The sequence below is a fragment of the Homo sapiens genome, chromosome 9, assembly GCF_000001405.40.
Source record: "Homo sapiens chromosome 9, GRCh38.p14 Primary Assembly".
Lineage (NCBI taxonomy): Eukaryota > Metazoa > Chordata > Mammalia > Primates > Hominidae > Homo > Homo sapiens.
Window position 1 is genome coordinate 101540037 of NC_000009.12, and position 15507 is coordinate 101555543.

Sequence of the window (15507 nt, forward strand, 5' to 3'; positions counted from 1 at the left end):
TTGTTTATCTCTTCTGCTTCTACTTCTTAATTACTTGTAAGATTTTTTAAAAGTCAATAGCTTTATTCATAGAAAATAACTAATGAATAATTGTGACCTTGTTGAGTTTAACGGCTCATTTTTCTTATTTCTTTGTGGAGACTAATACGATTGGTTTACTGGGCAGGAGGAACTAGACATTAGAACACTGCAAACCAAAAATCGCAAGCTGGCAGAAATGTTGGATCAGCGGCAGGCCATTGAAGATGAACTTCGTGAGCACATTGAAAAACTGGAACGACGACAGGCCACTGATGATGCCTCACTATTGATTGTCAACCGATACTGGAGTCAGGTAGCTAACTTGTTTATTTGTTCAGATTTTTATTTGACCAATTTAGTTCTCCTTACTGTTCTCTTCATTTCCAAAGTTGTGTCCTTTGTTTCTTCATAATTGTACCTACCCTTCTCCAGTTTGATGAAAACATCCGTATCATCCTTAAACGTTATGATCTGGAGCAGGGCTTGGGAGACCTACTCACAGAACGAAAAGCCCTTGTTGTGCCTGAACCAGAACCAGACTCTGATAGCAATCAGGAGCGTAAAGATGACCGAGAGAGAGGCAAGTGTTCGTGATGGATTCTATCACTGCATGCTATCTGGGTTTTTAAAGTAGAGCTCTGCTTTGAGGCTTTCCATTTGAGGGAAAAAAAATGGATTTTGTTATTTCCAGTTTATAATTTTGGGGGGCTTCTTTTTTTCCCCCTGTGTCCTCAGGGGAAGGGCAAGAGCCAGCTTTCTCTTTCCTTGCTACTTTGGCCAGCAGTTCCAGTGAAGAGATGGAGTCTCAGCTGCAGGAACGTGTGGAGTCTTCCCGCCGAGCCGTGTCCCAGATTGTGACTGTTTATGATAAATTGCAAGAAAAAGTGGAGCTCTTATCCCGGAAGCTAAACAGTGGAGGTGAGGCAAGACCCTGGAGGCCGGGAGTAGTGGAGGAGGAATAAGAATTCATTTTTGCATGCTAATTTGTAGTTTGCAAGCTTACATATTTATTTTTATTTATTTATTATTTACTTTTTAAGAGATAAGGTTTCACTGTGTCACCCAGGCTGGAACACAGTGGCACCATCATAGCCCATTGAATCCTCGAACTCAAGCAATCTTTCTGCCTCAGCTTCCGAATAGCTAGGACTATAGGCACGTACTACCACACCTGGCTAATATTTTAACCTTTTTGTAGAGAGGAAGTCTTGCTATGTTGCCCAGGCTGGTCTCAAACTTGGCCTCAAGAGATCCTCTCTTCTGGCCTCCCAAAGTGTTAGGATTACAGGCATGAGCCACTGTGCCTGGACTATATATTTTAATTAAATTTTTAGAAATTCTAACCTTCAGTGTTACTGGTAATGTCTTCATTATGGCATATTAATCTTTTATCAGTGCTTCTCATTTTGAGCCACATGACAGTCCTTTAATAAGCTGAGGAAAGAGTTTATCAGCTCTATACTGATATACTCTATTAATGACAGTTTTGTAAATAGCAGAATTAACTTTATTATTTAATAAACAGCTCTAATATCTGGATCTGTTTATCGTGTATGTAGGCTATTGATTTATAGTGATAATACTTTATTTTAAATAACAACTATATTATTTAATTATTAGTTACAGAATTTTGACTTGAAAAAGTTAATTTTTACTTAACTTATTTTTCATTATCGCTAATGTTTTTAAAAAGAGTTGGTGCAGGTTTTAGAGTTGACAGATGATCTGTATGGTTAAAAGGATTATTAGAAAATATTCTATGGATGAAAGAGTATTTGAAATAAAATAATTATTTGGGATAATTGTGTTACTCAGAGTTAATGCAAAAATTTAAATTTGTACAGTAAAGTATTTGTGTAGCTAGGTTACATCTTTAGTCATTTGTGGCATAAATACCTTGCTCAAATGCAAAAAAAATGCCTTGATTTCATGTTTTCAATAATAATCATGGTCTAGTTGTAATATCTTAATTTCCCTGCTTATCATTAAGATGTTTAACCTTTCATTTCTGAAGGAAATAAGTTGAATGTAATGGAGGTTGAACCATTGGATGAGCATATAAGAATTGTATTATTCTGTAATTTTGCTTTTAAGGGTAATTGGGCTAAGTTGTCAACAGAATTAAGCAGCTTGTAGAAGGCCTGTGAAAATTTGGTCACGGGTTTCTTTTGCTTTTCCATTAGATTATGCATTTCTGTATTTTATTATAAGGAAAACAGATACTTGTTTAAAAATATACAAGTCAGAAATACAAATAAGTAGACTACAAAAGTTTCCCCATTCTCATTTCTCAAAAGATAACCATTCTAAACAATGTGTTTTATGTCCTCTCAGACTTTTGTACTTTTGTATTAATATCTTACATCTACTTGCATGTCCCCAGCTAAACTGTGTCTTGGTTCAGTAGTTTGGCTCACTCTTCTTTGTTTCTCTAGTTTCTAGCACTGCATCTGGCATCTAGCAGATGTTTAGTCAATGGGGAATGAATGGATGTGAACCTCCCTGTCACCTAATATAAAATAATGGTGCTTTGTGTGTGCACATATGCTTCTTTCTCCTTGGGCTCTAATTGAATAGTTAGAAGGTATTGTTAAATTTTAGTAATATGGTAATTAATATGCCATGTGCATAGACTATGTTAAACTTGATTTCATAAATGAATATCAAGTGAAACAATTGTTTTATTTAAAAAGGGAATAAAATGAGTAGTATATCAAACGACTTTAAAATTACTATTTAATGGCATGCATTTTAAGGTCGGGTTTAAGTTAAAAAGTAGAAACATTACAAATAGCCATGCCATTATTTGTAACACAAAAGGCAATTGCCATTGGTAAGCTGAACTTTCTAAGAGATAAAGATGTATAAAGTATGAATTATAGCATCAGTTGTAACTTGTTTGAAAGTTCATCCCCCTGACTTAGACTGAAAATTGACATTCCTCAAATTCCTAGGACATCATCAATACAGTAGTTTCTACTTCCCCATTCCCTGTGGAATTTCTACCACGCCATTCCTCAATAACACTATACAGTCTTTTATATTTAGGGTAATTCATTATTTGGAGGTTTGGAGTTGTGTTGTGTTTTACAAAATCCCCTATGATATGATAGGCCTTCTAGAGTAAGGTAAGGCCTTCTAGAGCAAGTATAGGCCTTATAGAGTAAGGTCTATAAATTCATCTAACCCTGCCAGAGCGGCACTGTCTAACCTGCCACGGCAGTACTGTCTAACCGTGCCAGGGCGGCACTGTCTAACCCTTCCAGGGCGGCACTGTCTAACCCTTCCAGGGCGGCACTGTCTAACCCTGCCAGGGCGGCACTGTCTAACCTGCCAGAGCGGCACTGTCTAACCTGCCAGAGCGGCACTGTCTAACTCTGCCAGGGCGGCACTGTCTAACCTGCCAAGGCAGCACTGTCTAACCCTGCCAGGGTGGCACTGTCTAACCCTGCCACTGCAGTACTGTCCAACCCTGCCAGAGCGGAACTGTCTAACCTGCCAGGGCGGCACTGTCTAACCTGCCAGAGCGGCACTGTCTAACCCTGCCAGGGCGGCACTGTCTAACCTGCCAGGGCAGTACTGTCTGTTTGTTTGGTCTTTGATTCAAAAGAATTGCATTTATGGGCTTGTTTATAAATTCACTAAACATTTATTGAATTTTATTGTATTCTAGCCCTGTCCTCAGTGCTTAGGATATTGAGAGGACTAAAATTCAGTCTCTACTTCTTAACTCAGGTTATGAATCAGAATAACCTTGGGAGTTTTCTGAGCATATTCTTATTTTTGGCTTTGCCCATGGAGGTTCTTATTAAGTAGGTATGAGATAGGTCCTAGGGAAATGTCTATTTTAAAAGTTCCACAAGTGATTCTGATGGGCAAGCCTAGCTTGAAAACCATGAAAACCACCATATGACCAACCTGTTCTGTATTGATACTAAGAGTAATGCCAAGAGGTGATATGAGAAAGCATATTTTTCTTCCTGATAACTCTCTTTGATGGGTGGTATATATCCTGAGAGTATCTGGTTTCATTTAATTACATTTGGATTTCAGCTATAGTATTTGCAACTCTAATTTTAAACATACGAACTTGGTGTAATAAGTTCTATGGATTTACCTACCTGCTTTGTAAATAGTAGTGTACATTTTGGTTTTTAAGCTTCAGAAGTGCCCCTAACATAGTATTTCAGAATATATGATATGAGAATATGTGATAAGAGCATATGATTCTTGCTTTGTTATTCAGGCTGGTCTTGAACTCCTGGCCTCAAGTGATCGGCCTGCCTTGGCTTCCCAAGGTGCTAGGATTACAGCGTGAGCTGCTATACCTGGCCAAGGATACACAGTTTTAAAATTTGACACTATAGGCCAGGCACGGTGGCTCACACCTGTAATCCCAGCACTTTGGGAGGCTGAGGTGGGTGGATCACCTGAGGTCAGGAGTTTGAGACCAGCCTGTCCGACATGGTGAAACCCCATCTCTACTAAAAATACAAAAATCATCCGGGTGTGGTGGCATGTGCCTGTAATCCCAGCTACTCTGGAGGCTGAGGCAGGAGAATCGGCTCGAACCCTGGAGGCAGAGGTTGCAGTGAGCCGAGATCGCGCCACTGTACTCCAGCCTGGGCGATAGAGCAAGACTCCGTCTTAAAAAAAAAAAAAAAATGACACTCTAGATGCTAAATTAAAGTATAGTTCTTCTTCCCCAGATAATCTGATAGTGGAGGAAGCAGTGCAGGAGCTGAACTCTTTCCTCGCACAGGAGAATATGAGGCTACAGGAATTGACAGATCTTCTTCAGGAAAAGCATCGCACCATGTCTCAGGAGGTACTTAACCAAAAAGGAGAGATGGCTGTGTCTAGTGGGCTGTGGCAGATGTTGACTTACAATTCTGAGCACCTCAAAGATTACCTTACTCTAGAAGGCCTATCATATCATAGGGGATTTTGTAAAACACAACACAACTCCAAACCTCCAAATAATGAATTACCCTAAATATAAAAGACTGTATAGTGTTATTGAGGAATGGCGTGGTAGAAATTCCACAGGGAATGGGGAAGTAGAAACTACTGTATTGATGATGTCCTAGGAATTTGAGGAATGTCAATTTTCAGTCTAAACTTGGGTGCAAATAATGCCATGATTAAACCATGCCAAGATTTGGACATTTATTTATTTACACAAAATGATCAAGATAAAGTGATGATAGGCCTTAAATGACTTTTCTGATACTTCTGATGATCATTTTGATTTAGTTCAAAATATATTCTACTGGAATTTGCCCCACCTTAGTTTGGCCACTGAATTCTTATGCTAATTAGTAATTTAGTAGTTGCCATTTACTTAGTGCCTAGAATTTAAGCACTTTATGAATGTTATCTCTAATGGCAAAACAACTCCCATTTTATTGCCAAAGAAACAAATTCAAAGAGGTTAGTGATTATTCTGAGGGCACATAGCTAGAAAGTGATTGAGCTGTGTTGTGACTGTAGGTCTGTTTGACTTCAAAGCTCTTGTTCTTCATATGCCTTTGTTTACTAAACCCCAGTGTTAAGGTCCATGCTGGCCTGGTTGCATGAATATCATCTGGGGAATTTATTAATTCATATGGATTATCCTGGACCTTCAAAGGGGTTAGAATGTAGTAGCCCTTATAAATAAACTGGAGTCTAGTAAGAAAATAGAATATTTTTATCATGTTTTAAGACATTGACTAGGTGCTACCAAGATGGAGAGGTCTTCCTTTTCTAGCCCTTTGACAAATCTCAGATAGTATTACTAACCTGGAGGGCAGTTGTTTGCTAAACTGTGATGTCCTTGTTGGCTCTCATGGCTGGCTGTTGATGCTGCCTGTCAGCTGGGTTAATTGTCTACTGGGATACCTGCAGTTTGCCTCTCCATCATGGTAGTCTCAGGATGGTTGGAATTTTTACATGTTGGCTGACTTCTTCCAGTGAGCATCCCAAGATCACCAGGTAGAACCTTCATGGCCTTTCTGATATAGCCTCAAAATTGTGTAGTGACATTTCCATTGGGTCTCTAAAGTTGACCCAGATTCAAGAGGAGGGAACAAAGATCCCACCTCTTGTTCAGAGGACTTTCAAAGGATTTTTGTGTCATGTTTTAAAACCTAGCACAAAGGGTATATATAGATTAATGTGAACTTGTAATAGTTTAGTAGTTAAAATACTAAATAGTGTTAGCTGGTGTATAGCTCCTAAATAGAGTATCTGACTTTAGATTATAGTATAATCTATACTGTATTGTATCTGACTCTAGATTGCTCTGGGGTGAGCTTAAAAAAGAGTATGGAAGTTTTCTTTTGTTGTGAATGAATGGATTACCTTTTGTGGGACTGTGGAGAGAAATTTGGGGGTAAAAATGGTTTTTTTGAAAAAATATTTATCTTACAAAACAAAAGATACTATTTATTATCTCTTAAAAAATTACAAAATTTTTATGAGTTTGTGGTCTGTCCAGAGAAATGGTGCTTTTCAGAGGTAGAAAAATTGTTGAATCTTAGGTGGTCTTTTCTTTGTGTGAGAGTTCTTATAGACTTTAGACTTAAAGTTTGCATGATTATAACTGACACAGAATTGTTGGAGGAATCCGTGATTTCATTTTTGTAATCATGCATTGGGAAGAGGGTGAAGCATCTTCTATTTGCCTCTTTTCTATAATTACTCATAAGCAAGGGTTAATATTATGGAATTTGGTCTTTTTTTGCTATATGTTTCTGAATGTTTGTCTTTGGGATGTAGTTCTCCAAGTTGCAGAGTAAAGTGGAGACAGCCGAATCACGAGTGTCTGTCCTGGAGTCCATGATTGATGACCTGCAGTGGGATATTGACAAAATTCGAAAGAGGGAACAGCGACTCAACCGACACTTAGCAGAAGTCCTAGAACGGGTCAGTGCTGTTTTATGGCTTGGAGACTAGAATCATTTTAAGGAGTGTTCTCAGGAAGACTCACCTTGGGGCATGGTATTTGAGGAAAAAATCTCATCCTTTGAAGGTACATTGGTTATAGACTGAAATCTTAAGAGTCTCTCACTAAAGAATCTTTGTGTTCTCTGTAGGTGAATTCCAAAGGTTATAAGGTGTATGGAGCGGGGAGCAGTCTGTATGGCGGCACAATCACTATCAATGCTCGGAAGGTAAAATCAGTGACTCAGGACATGTTTTGGACTGTATGTCAGCTTTCATGCTTAGGTACTTAGGACTGTGTTCACAAGTGACATCATGGGGTTTTGCTGGAATAGCGAATCAGTGAAGAAAGGAAGCTTAGAAATGATTTAAGAAGAATACTTATTTATTCTCTATTTTTCTGCTTCTCTGCAGTTTGAGGAAATGAATGCAGAGCTTGAGGAGAACAAAGAGTTGGCTCAGAACCGTCTCTGTGAGCTGGAGAAACTTCGGCAAGACTTTGAGGAGGTCACTACACAAAATGAAAAGCTGAAGGTAGGAACGCATCCCTGAAGGGCAGTAAAATCAGACGTTCTGCTGATCAACTCACGTATATACATAGTTGTGAATCTGCGTATTCATGAGGGATAAGAAAAATGTAGACAAAATCCAACATCCTTTTATGATAAAACTCTTAACAAATTAGGTGTAAAGAAGTGTACCTCAACATAATAAAGGCCATATAAAACAAGCCCACAGCCAACATTATACCCAATGGCGAAAAGTTGAAAGCTTTTCCTTTAAGATCAGGAACAGGATAAAGATGCTCGCTGTCATTACTTTTGTCCTAGCCAGAGTAATTAGGCAAGGATAAGAAATAAAGGCCTCTTAATCAGAAAGGAAGAGGTAAAGTTGTTTCTGTTTATAGATGACATGACTTTATATATAGAAAACCTTACAGGCTCCACGAAAAAACTGTTAGAACTATAAATGAATTCAGTAAAGTTGCAGGCTACAGAATCAACATACAAAAACAATTGTGTGTCTATATACCAACAACAAACTCTATAAAAAAGAAATTAAGAAAACAATCCCATTTACAATACCATTAAAAAAAATTGTGAATAACCTTAACCAGGGAGATGAAAGAACTGTACACTGAATGGATAAAGAAATGTGGTGTGTGTTTGTATGTGAGTGTGTGTGTGTATATGTGCAACAGCATGGATATATTTAGAGGACATTATGCTAACTGAAATAAACCAAGCACGGAAAGGCAAATACTGCATGATCTCACTTGTATGTGGGATCTAAAAAAGTCAAAATCTTGGAAGCAGAGTGTAGAATGGTGGTTACCAGGGTTGGGGAAATCGGAAGATGTTGGGGAAAAGGTACAAAGTTTTAGTTATGCAGGATGAATAAGTTCTGGTGATGTGTAGCATGGTGACTATAATTAATGCTGTATTGTGTACTTGAAATATGCTAAGAGTAGATCTTAAATGTTCTTGCCACACACGAAAAGATAACTGTGAGGTGAAGGATTTGTTAATTAGGTGGATTGTGGTAATGATTTCACAGTGTATATGTATAGCAAAATGCCACATTGTATACCTTAAATATGTATAATTTTTATTTGTTGATTATACCTTAATAAAGCTGGGGGGAACAAAGAAAAAATGTTAAGTTTTGTTGATATATCTACTTCTTTACTTACATATTTACTTATTATATGTACTCTGCCTTGCCCTGAAAAGGATTTAAAGCAACATACAAAGATATGTAGACTAAATCAAGGTGCTGTAATGTAGGAGTTGTTGAGAAAAATGAGAAGTAGGGTAAACTAGGGTGAGGATCCAAAATGCATTAAAGTGGGGCTTGTATACAAGATGTTTGCAGGGGGCATATATATACTGTGGAAGGGAGGCCATTCACATGTCAGTGCTTACCGAAGTGATTCCACAGGTTTGGCTCTGCAGTTTTTTGCTACCAAAACAGAGAAAGAAACACGATTGGTGATCCTGTTGGTCTTCAAACCTGCCCAGAAGAATTTTCTTCTTAGGTTGTTAGTGTAGGGGCCAGCCCCACAGGGTCGGTGGGTCTCTCCCTGTGTGCGGAGACGAGAGAGTGTAGAAATAAAGACACAAGACAAAGAGATAAAAGAAAAGGCAGCTGGGCCTGGGGGACCACTACCACCAAGTTGCGGAGACCGGTAGTGGCCCCAAATGCCAGGCTGCACTGATATTTATTGGATACAAGACAAAGGGGCAGGATAAGGAGAGCAAGCCATCTCCAATCGTAGGTAAGGTCACGTGGGTCACATGTCCACTGGACAGGGGGCCCTTCCCTGCCTGGCAGCCGAGGCATAGAGAGAGAGGAGACAGAGAGAGAAACAGCTTATGCCATTATTTCTGATAATTAGAGACTTTTAATACTTTCACTAATTTGCTACTGCTATCTAGAAGGCAGAGTCAGGTGTACAGGATGGAACATGAAGGCGGCCTAGGAGCGTGACCACTGAACAGGTTAGGCCTCCGGATAACGGCGGACGAGCCTGACTAATGTCAGGCCCTCCACAAGAGGTGGAGGAGTAGAGTCTTCTCTAAACTCCTCCCGGGAAAGGGAGACTCCCTTTCCTGGTCTGCTAAGTAGCAGGTGTTTTCCCTTGACACTTACGCTACCGCTAGACCACGGTCCACCTGGTAACGGGCGTCTTCCCAGAAGCTGGCATTACCGCTAGACCAAGGAGCCCTCTGGTGGCCCTGTCTGGGCATAACAGAAGGCTCGCACTCTTGTCTTCTGGTCACTTCTCACTGTGTCCCCTCAGCTCCTATCTCTGTATGGCCTGGTTTTTCCTAGGTTATGATTATAGAGCGAGGATTATTATAATATTGGAATAAAGAGTAATTGCTACAAACTGATGATTAATGATATTCATATATAATCATATCTAAGATCTATATCTGGCATAACTATTCTTGTTTTATATTTTATTATACTGGAACAGCTCGTGTCCTCGGTCTCTTGCCTCGGCACCTGGGTGGCTTGCCGCCCACATCTTAGGAGAAGAAAAGAGATTCTGGAAGTCTTTCTCACTCCTCTTTCGATCATAGTCATCTCTATTTTACAAGTTGTTTGTAGGTTAAATGATATGAATAAAGATGTTTGAACTGAAAAATAAAAAACAAAAACAACCTAAGTTAAATCAGTTAAAAGTGTTTGAGTAATTAAATCAGATAGTTGCTTAGGAGAGGCATAACTATTTTTGATACCCTGTCAATTTTTTTCTCTGTCACTGTTATTAAAGAGAACAAGTTAGTGACTGGGGTCCTCAACTATGTTTTTAAAATAAGCATCCTGACAAATTTCACTCTTCTGGTGGCTCATTTGACACAGAATATAAAACACATATCAAAACAATTCTAGGAGGAAAGAATACAGTATATCCAGGTACCATCTCCTAGTTAGTCTAATTTAATTTTGGGGTAGATTTTACATAACTACAGCAATGGGTAGATAACTTAATAATCTTTATAAAATTGTCTCTCTTGTGTAGGACATCAGTGAGTTCAAAATTTTACTTCCTGTCTAGCGTCTGGGGCAATGCTAGATTCTGCTTCTGACTTTGCTTTGGGCCCTCCTAAGGTGGAATTGCGGAGTGCAGTGGAGCAAGTCGTTAAGGAAACTCCAGAATATCGCTGCATGCAGTCACAGTTCTCCGTCTTGTATAATGAGAGCCTACAGTTGAAAGCACACTTGGATGAGGCTCGGACCCTGCTTCATGGCACCAGAGGAACCCACCAGCACCAGGTTGAGCTTATTGAGGTAATAGCCTTGCCTTGTCTTTTGTATGTAAGCTTTCTTGCCTCCTAAATTTTACAATTTTACTCCCTCATGTGCAATTAATCTCTCATTCATTCAGCTGTCATTCATAGAGTGGCAGTAGGTCTTTACTCTGGTAGGTACTGGGCATATAAAGATGAGATGACAAAATTCCTGCCCTCACAGATCTTGTAGTCTGCAGTAATGGGAGAATAGTATCCATTAGAATGCAATGTGGTACAATGGCAGCATAGCCAAAAGATGTGATACATGAGAAAAGAGTGTCTGATTTGACTGTGGAAGTTTCCTGATTCCACTTAAAAAAGTAAGGTATAAATATTAAGGATAAATTATTGGTAGTTGAAAGTAGGAGAAGAAGAATTCCCGGCATGAGAACAGCACATATAAAGGTATGAGAGAGCATGAGAAATAGTTTAATATGGCTAGAGCTTACGTGTATGTGAGAAAATAGTGGGTAGAAGCTGCAAAATTACTTACATTTCTTAAACAAAAAGCATATAATGGCACCAGTAGATGATTTTTTTAAAAGATAGAAACTTTTATTCATATGTTCATTTCTGTATCTTCCATAGTTTTTAAGGTAATGGTTATAATAGTTGGTCTTTTAATATATGCCTGACAAATGAATTGAATACTATTTTACATATGTTTATATACTGTTTTATAGTTTAGTTCTCCAACTAAATTCTAATATTCTCAGAATTGGTGGCCATTTTCTTTATTTTTCAGTATCCTGTCAGTTTCCAAATTAGTCTTTTGTAGATATCTGGTTTCATTACGTATAGATTGAACTGGAAATTTTCAGAGTAATCCATAGAATATGATGATATTTCTACATTTTAATAAGAATTTTTTTATTGGTTCCTTTATCTGTGTGTAGCGAGATGAGGTTAGTCTTCATAAGAAGCTGAGGACTGAAGTAATTCAGCTAGAAGATACATTGGCCCAGGTCCGCAAGGAGTATGAAATGCTGAGGATAGAATTTGAGCAGACCCTTGCTGCCAATGAACAAGCAGGTATAATGATTCTCACTCCATGCTGTAGTTTGCTCTTAATACCTTCCTTGAAAGATACAACACAGACCCCAGGGTTTGTTAATGCTGACTTCAACTCAGAAGTCATAAGTACCTTAAATCCTATAATTCATTTTGGTTCACAGCCTGGATGTTTGTTTTTTAACTCAAGTTGACCAGTTTTGTTTTCATCTTCTGAGAAGGAATCTTTTATTTGGTAATTCTCCCTATTTCTCAGTGCCTCCTGATGTGTTCTGTTCTTTCTCTCCTTGTGCCTTTGCCCTTACCACGGTTCCTCATAACATTGTTGTTCCTGTATTTAAGGCCCTATAAACAGGGAGATGCGCCACCTCATCAGTAGCCTCCAGAATCACAATCACCAGCTGAAAGGGGAGGTCCTGAGATATAAGCGGAAATTGAGAGAAGCCCAGTCTGACCTGAACAAGGTAACCAGAGGGAATAGAATAAATATCATTTGCTATTAATGTCGTAAAGCTGCTTTTGAATGAGGTCGGCAATGTGGTTATCATAAGAGATGTGCATCTTTCTTTTCTTTATTCTCCCAGACACGCCTGCGTAGTGGTAGTGCCCTCCTGCAGTCCCAGTCTAGTACTGAGGACCCGAAGGATGAGCCTGCGGAGCTAAAACCAGATTCTGAGGACTTATCCTCCCAGTCCTCAGCTTCAAAGGCATCTCAGGAGGATGCCAATGAAATCAAGTCTAAACGGGATGAAGAAGAACGAGAACGAGAAAGGAGGGAGAAGGAGAGGGAACGAGAAAGAGAACGGGAGAAGGAGAAGGAGAGAGAACGAGAGAAGCAGAAGCTAAAAGAGTCAGAAAAAGAGAGAGATTCTGCTAAGGATAAAGAGAAAGGCAAACATGATGATGGACGGAAAAAGGAAGCAGAAATTATCAAACAATTGAAGATTGAACTCAAGTAAGAACCACATTTAGAGTAACAGTTTCGACTGAAAAGCTAAGATTAAGACATCATGCATGAAATGTTTGGTTGATGGCATGGCTTGTCTGATCGTTTTAATGTTTTAGATTGTACAATTAATTTGGTTTCAAGTCGTGTTCAAGTGCACAGCCAAAATGGCTTGCATGGCTATTTAGTACTTTGGTTCAGTGATCGAGTATCAGCAAACCGATGATGGTAGCCTTATTTTTATGAATCCAAATTAAGGAAAAGGATGTCATGATTGAGGTAATACTTCTGAGAATTATTGGGAATTAACTACTGCTCTTCACTGGATTTGAGCAGATTGCTGGCGTTAATTGTAATTTAAATGATATTAAGTGGAGTATTTATATATCACTGTAACTTGAACAATATCTGATCTATTTGCCTGAGAGTTAACTGGTTTGTGAATATGCCATATCTTTCTTAGGAGATTTACTCCTATACACATTGACACACTAAGATAGACCTTTAACTTGTTGAATTTTTCTGTGTCATAACCTTATGCATTGGCCCTTCTCCTGTATAACCAATAACTTCTCTGGCAGAACGGCTTACTTCTTGCTCCTTACTTTCTATGGTTGATCCTTTGTTGATGTTTGGACTTGAGAGACCACTGTGCTCAAAATGCTTGAACTCTTTTGGTATATAAAAGTATAGTTAAGAGGTTTAGTAATTTAATAAGAGGTGAAGTTTTAGTCTTTGGCTGATGGTTAATCACTCAGCTGTCAAATCTAGGATTAACAGTATATCTCAGACTTTCAAATTTTTCCCTTTTATTTCTCCCTCTTGAACTCTTTAAGGCAATTTTTTTTTTTTCTGGTGTGGTATCAGAATCATCTGAGTGACTTGTTTAAATCACTTGTTTAAATTTTTGAACTCCATCCCCAGACCTACTGAATCTCAGTTACCCAGGGTTGGGGGCCACAGAAATTTGCCTATATAACAAGTACACAAATGTCTGTTTTATAACTTTGTTAGAGGACTTTGAAGGGAGAAATGATTCATTTTTATACAGCTTACTTTTCTGTACTTTCTAAGCATATCCAAAAGTCTTTTGATAGTCTGTGCAAAATTTTATCTTTTAGGTGTGATATGAAATGTAAAATGAAACTGTTTTAAAATATTCTGCTCAATCAAAATTCCCTTGCTCTGATGACCTTTATTTTCTTATTACATTGTTCCCCTCCCTCTACTACGCCTGTCATAGGAAGGCACAGGAGAGCCAAAAGGAGATGAAACTATTGCTGGATATGTACCGTTCTGCCCCAAAGGAACAGAGAGACAAAGTTCAGCTGATGGCAGCTGAGAAGAAGTCTAAGGCAGAGGTATTCTAGTCTGCTATTACCTGTCCTTCTGGTTAAAATCTTCATTTGTGGGATTTTCCTTTATACTTGCCAACGATATAATTTCTTTCTTTATCTTTAAAATAAGTGTTTAAGTGCAACATTTTCTGCCTTTTCAAAGACCATCTGAAGTAGAGATTTTAAAACTCTCCATAGGATGGTAAAATATATCTGAATTACTGGGGTTATGAGTAGGCTTTCCAAAGTATGTATTCCTTGTTTTTCCTATGTAATTCATTGCTACAGGGATAATCTTTTTCATTACTTTTGGGAGGAATGTCTTATGCTCTTAAAATTTTGAGGCCTAAAAAAAAGGATGGGAACCACTATTCTAAAGAAAGTTACCTGTGCACTTCTCAAAAGTGTTGCTTATAGAAGCATGTCATAGTAGAATGGAGTGATGTTAAAACAGATGGTGTTATGTAATGTTTTAGTATATTATGTACCTTGTTCTATAATTCTGTAAAGACTCTTTTGGTATTATGAACCTTCTATCTTTGCACAGTATTAATTGATTTTTGAAAATGTGTTATAACTTTTTATTTTTGTGCAATTCCTTTCCTCTTATAGTTGGAAGATCTAAGGCAAAGACTCAAGGATCTGGAAGATAAAGAGAAGAAAGAGAACAAGAAAATGGCTGATGAGGATGCCTTGAGGAAGATCCGGGCAGTGGAGGAGCAGATAGAATACCTACAGAAGAAGCTAGCCATGGCCAAGCAGGTGGACTCACTTTCTTTATTTAATTGACTTTTTGAGTAAATGTTACTTGACAATAAGTTATTGCCAGTGAAATTTGCTTTTTTATTTTGGTCTTTTTTTGATTGTTAATGTGTATTTTTCCTTTTTGTGTGTGTGTTTTAATTCTTACCTTCAAGTCTTTTATCTTTCTGTTATTTTGTTTTGTGTATTTGTGAGGCAAGAAATTTACTTTTATTTAAATGGACATTTATTGAAGATCTAGTCTTTCTCTGCTGTTGTTCAGACAGTTATTGAAGATCTAGTCTTTCTTTGCTGACCTGGAATTAAGGGTTATAGTGAATATAAAATGAAAAATAAGACATAAGATTTTATATACATTATGATTACAAATATATGAAACTAAGAAAACTATGCTTATAAATATATATCATTATATATTTCTATGTAGTACATATACTACACAGAAAAACTATGCTTATAAATATGTGATTTATATATAATAAGGATATAATCTATTAACCAATATAATAACATTGATTAAGCAGTATGTTAACTATGGCTATTTTGGGGTCATAGAACTATAGAGATTGTTCTCCTCCTTATAATGAATATGTATGTATTTTTAAATGCCAGGGAATTTTTATTAAAATTCAATAATAAAGATACTGAAAATGCTTGAAAAAACCATATATGTATTCTCTGTTAGTACACCTTCATTGTT

General features: G+C 37.9%; 1 protein-coding gene across 3 annotated transcripts in view, besides 1 other annotated feature; it reads left to right on the top strand.

The window, feature by feature from the left end:
• Positions 1–15507, top strand: part of RNF20 (ring finger protein 20) — a 29492-nt gene that overhangs the window by 6184 nt on the left and 7801 nt on the right. For all 3 annotated transcript variants that reach the window (XM_011518862.2, XM_047423594.1, NM_019592.7), the window contains 13 exons: positions 167–334; positions 454–601; positions 757–939; positions 4731–4849; positions 6784–6930; positions 7101–7178; positions 7363–7482; positions 10570–10749; positions 11648–11783; positions 12105–12226; positions 12347–12717; positions 13952–14069; positions 14658–14807. In XM_011518862.2, coding sequence (XP_011517164.1) covers positions 167–334; positions 454–601; positions 757–939; positions 4731–4849; positions 6784–6930; positions 7101–7178; positions 7363–7482; positions 10570–10749; positions 11648–11783; positions 12105–12226; positions 12347–12717; positions 13952–14069; positions 14658–14807 — 2040 coding nt within the window. The remainder of the gene's footprint in view (positions 1–166; positions 335–453; positions 602–756; positions 940–4730; positions 4850–6783; positions 6931–7100; positions 7179–7362; positions 7483–10569; positions 10750–11647; positions 11784–12104; positions 12227–12346; positions 12718–13951; positions 14070–14657; positions 14808–15507) is intronic.
• Positions 14171–14388: a silencer, noted in NCBI's record as "fragment chr9:104316489-104316706 (GRCh37/hg19 assembly coordinates)". NCBI's record gives its function as "represses an EF-1alpha promoter that drives an FKBP-Casp9 reporter gene in an ReSE screen in K562 erythroleukemia cells {active_cell/tissue: K562}" and the evidence as "EXISTENCE:reporter gene assay evidence [ECO:0000049][PMID:32094911]".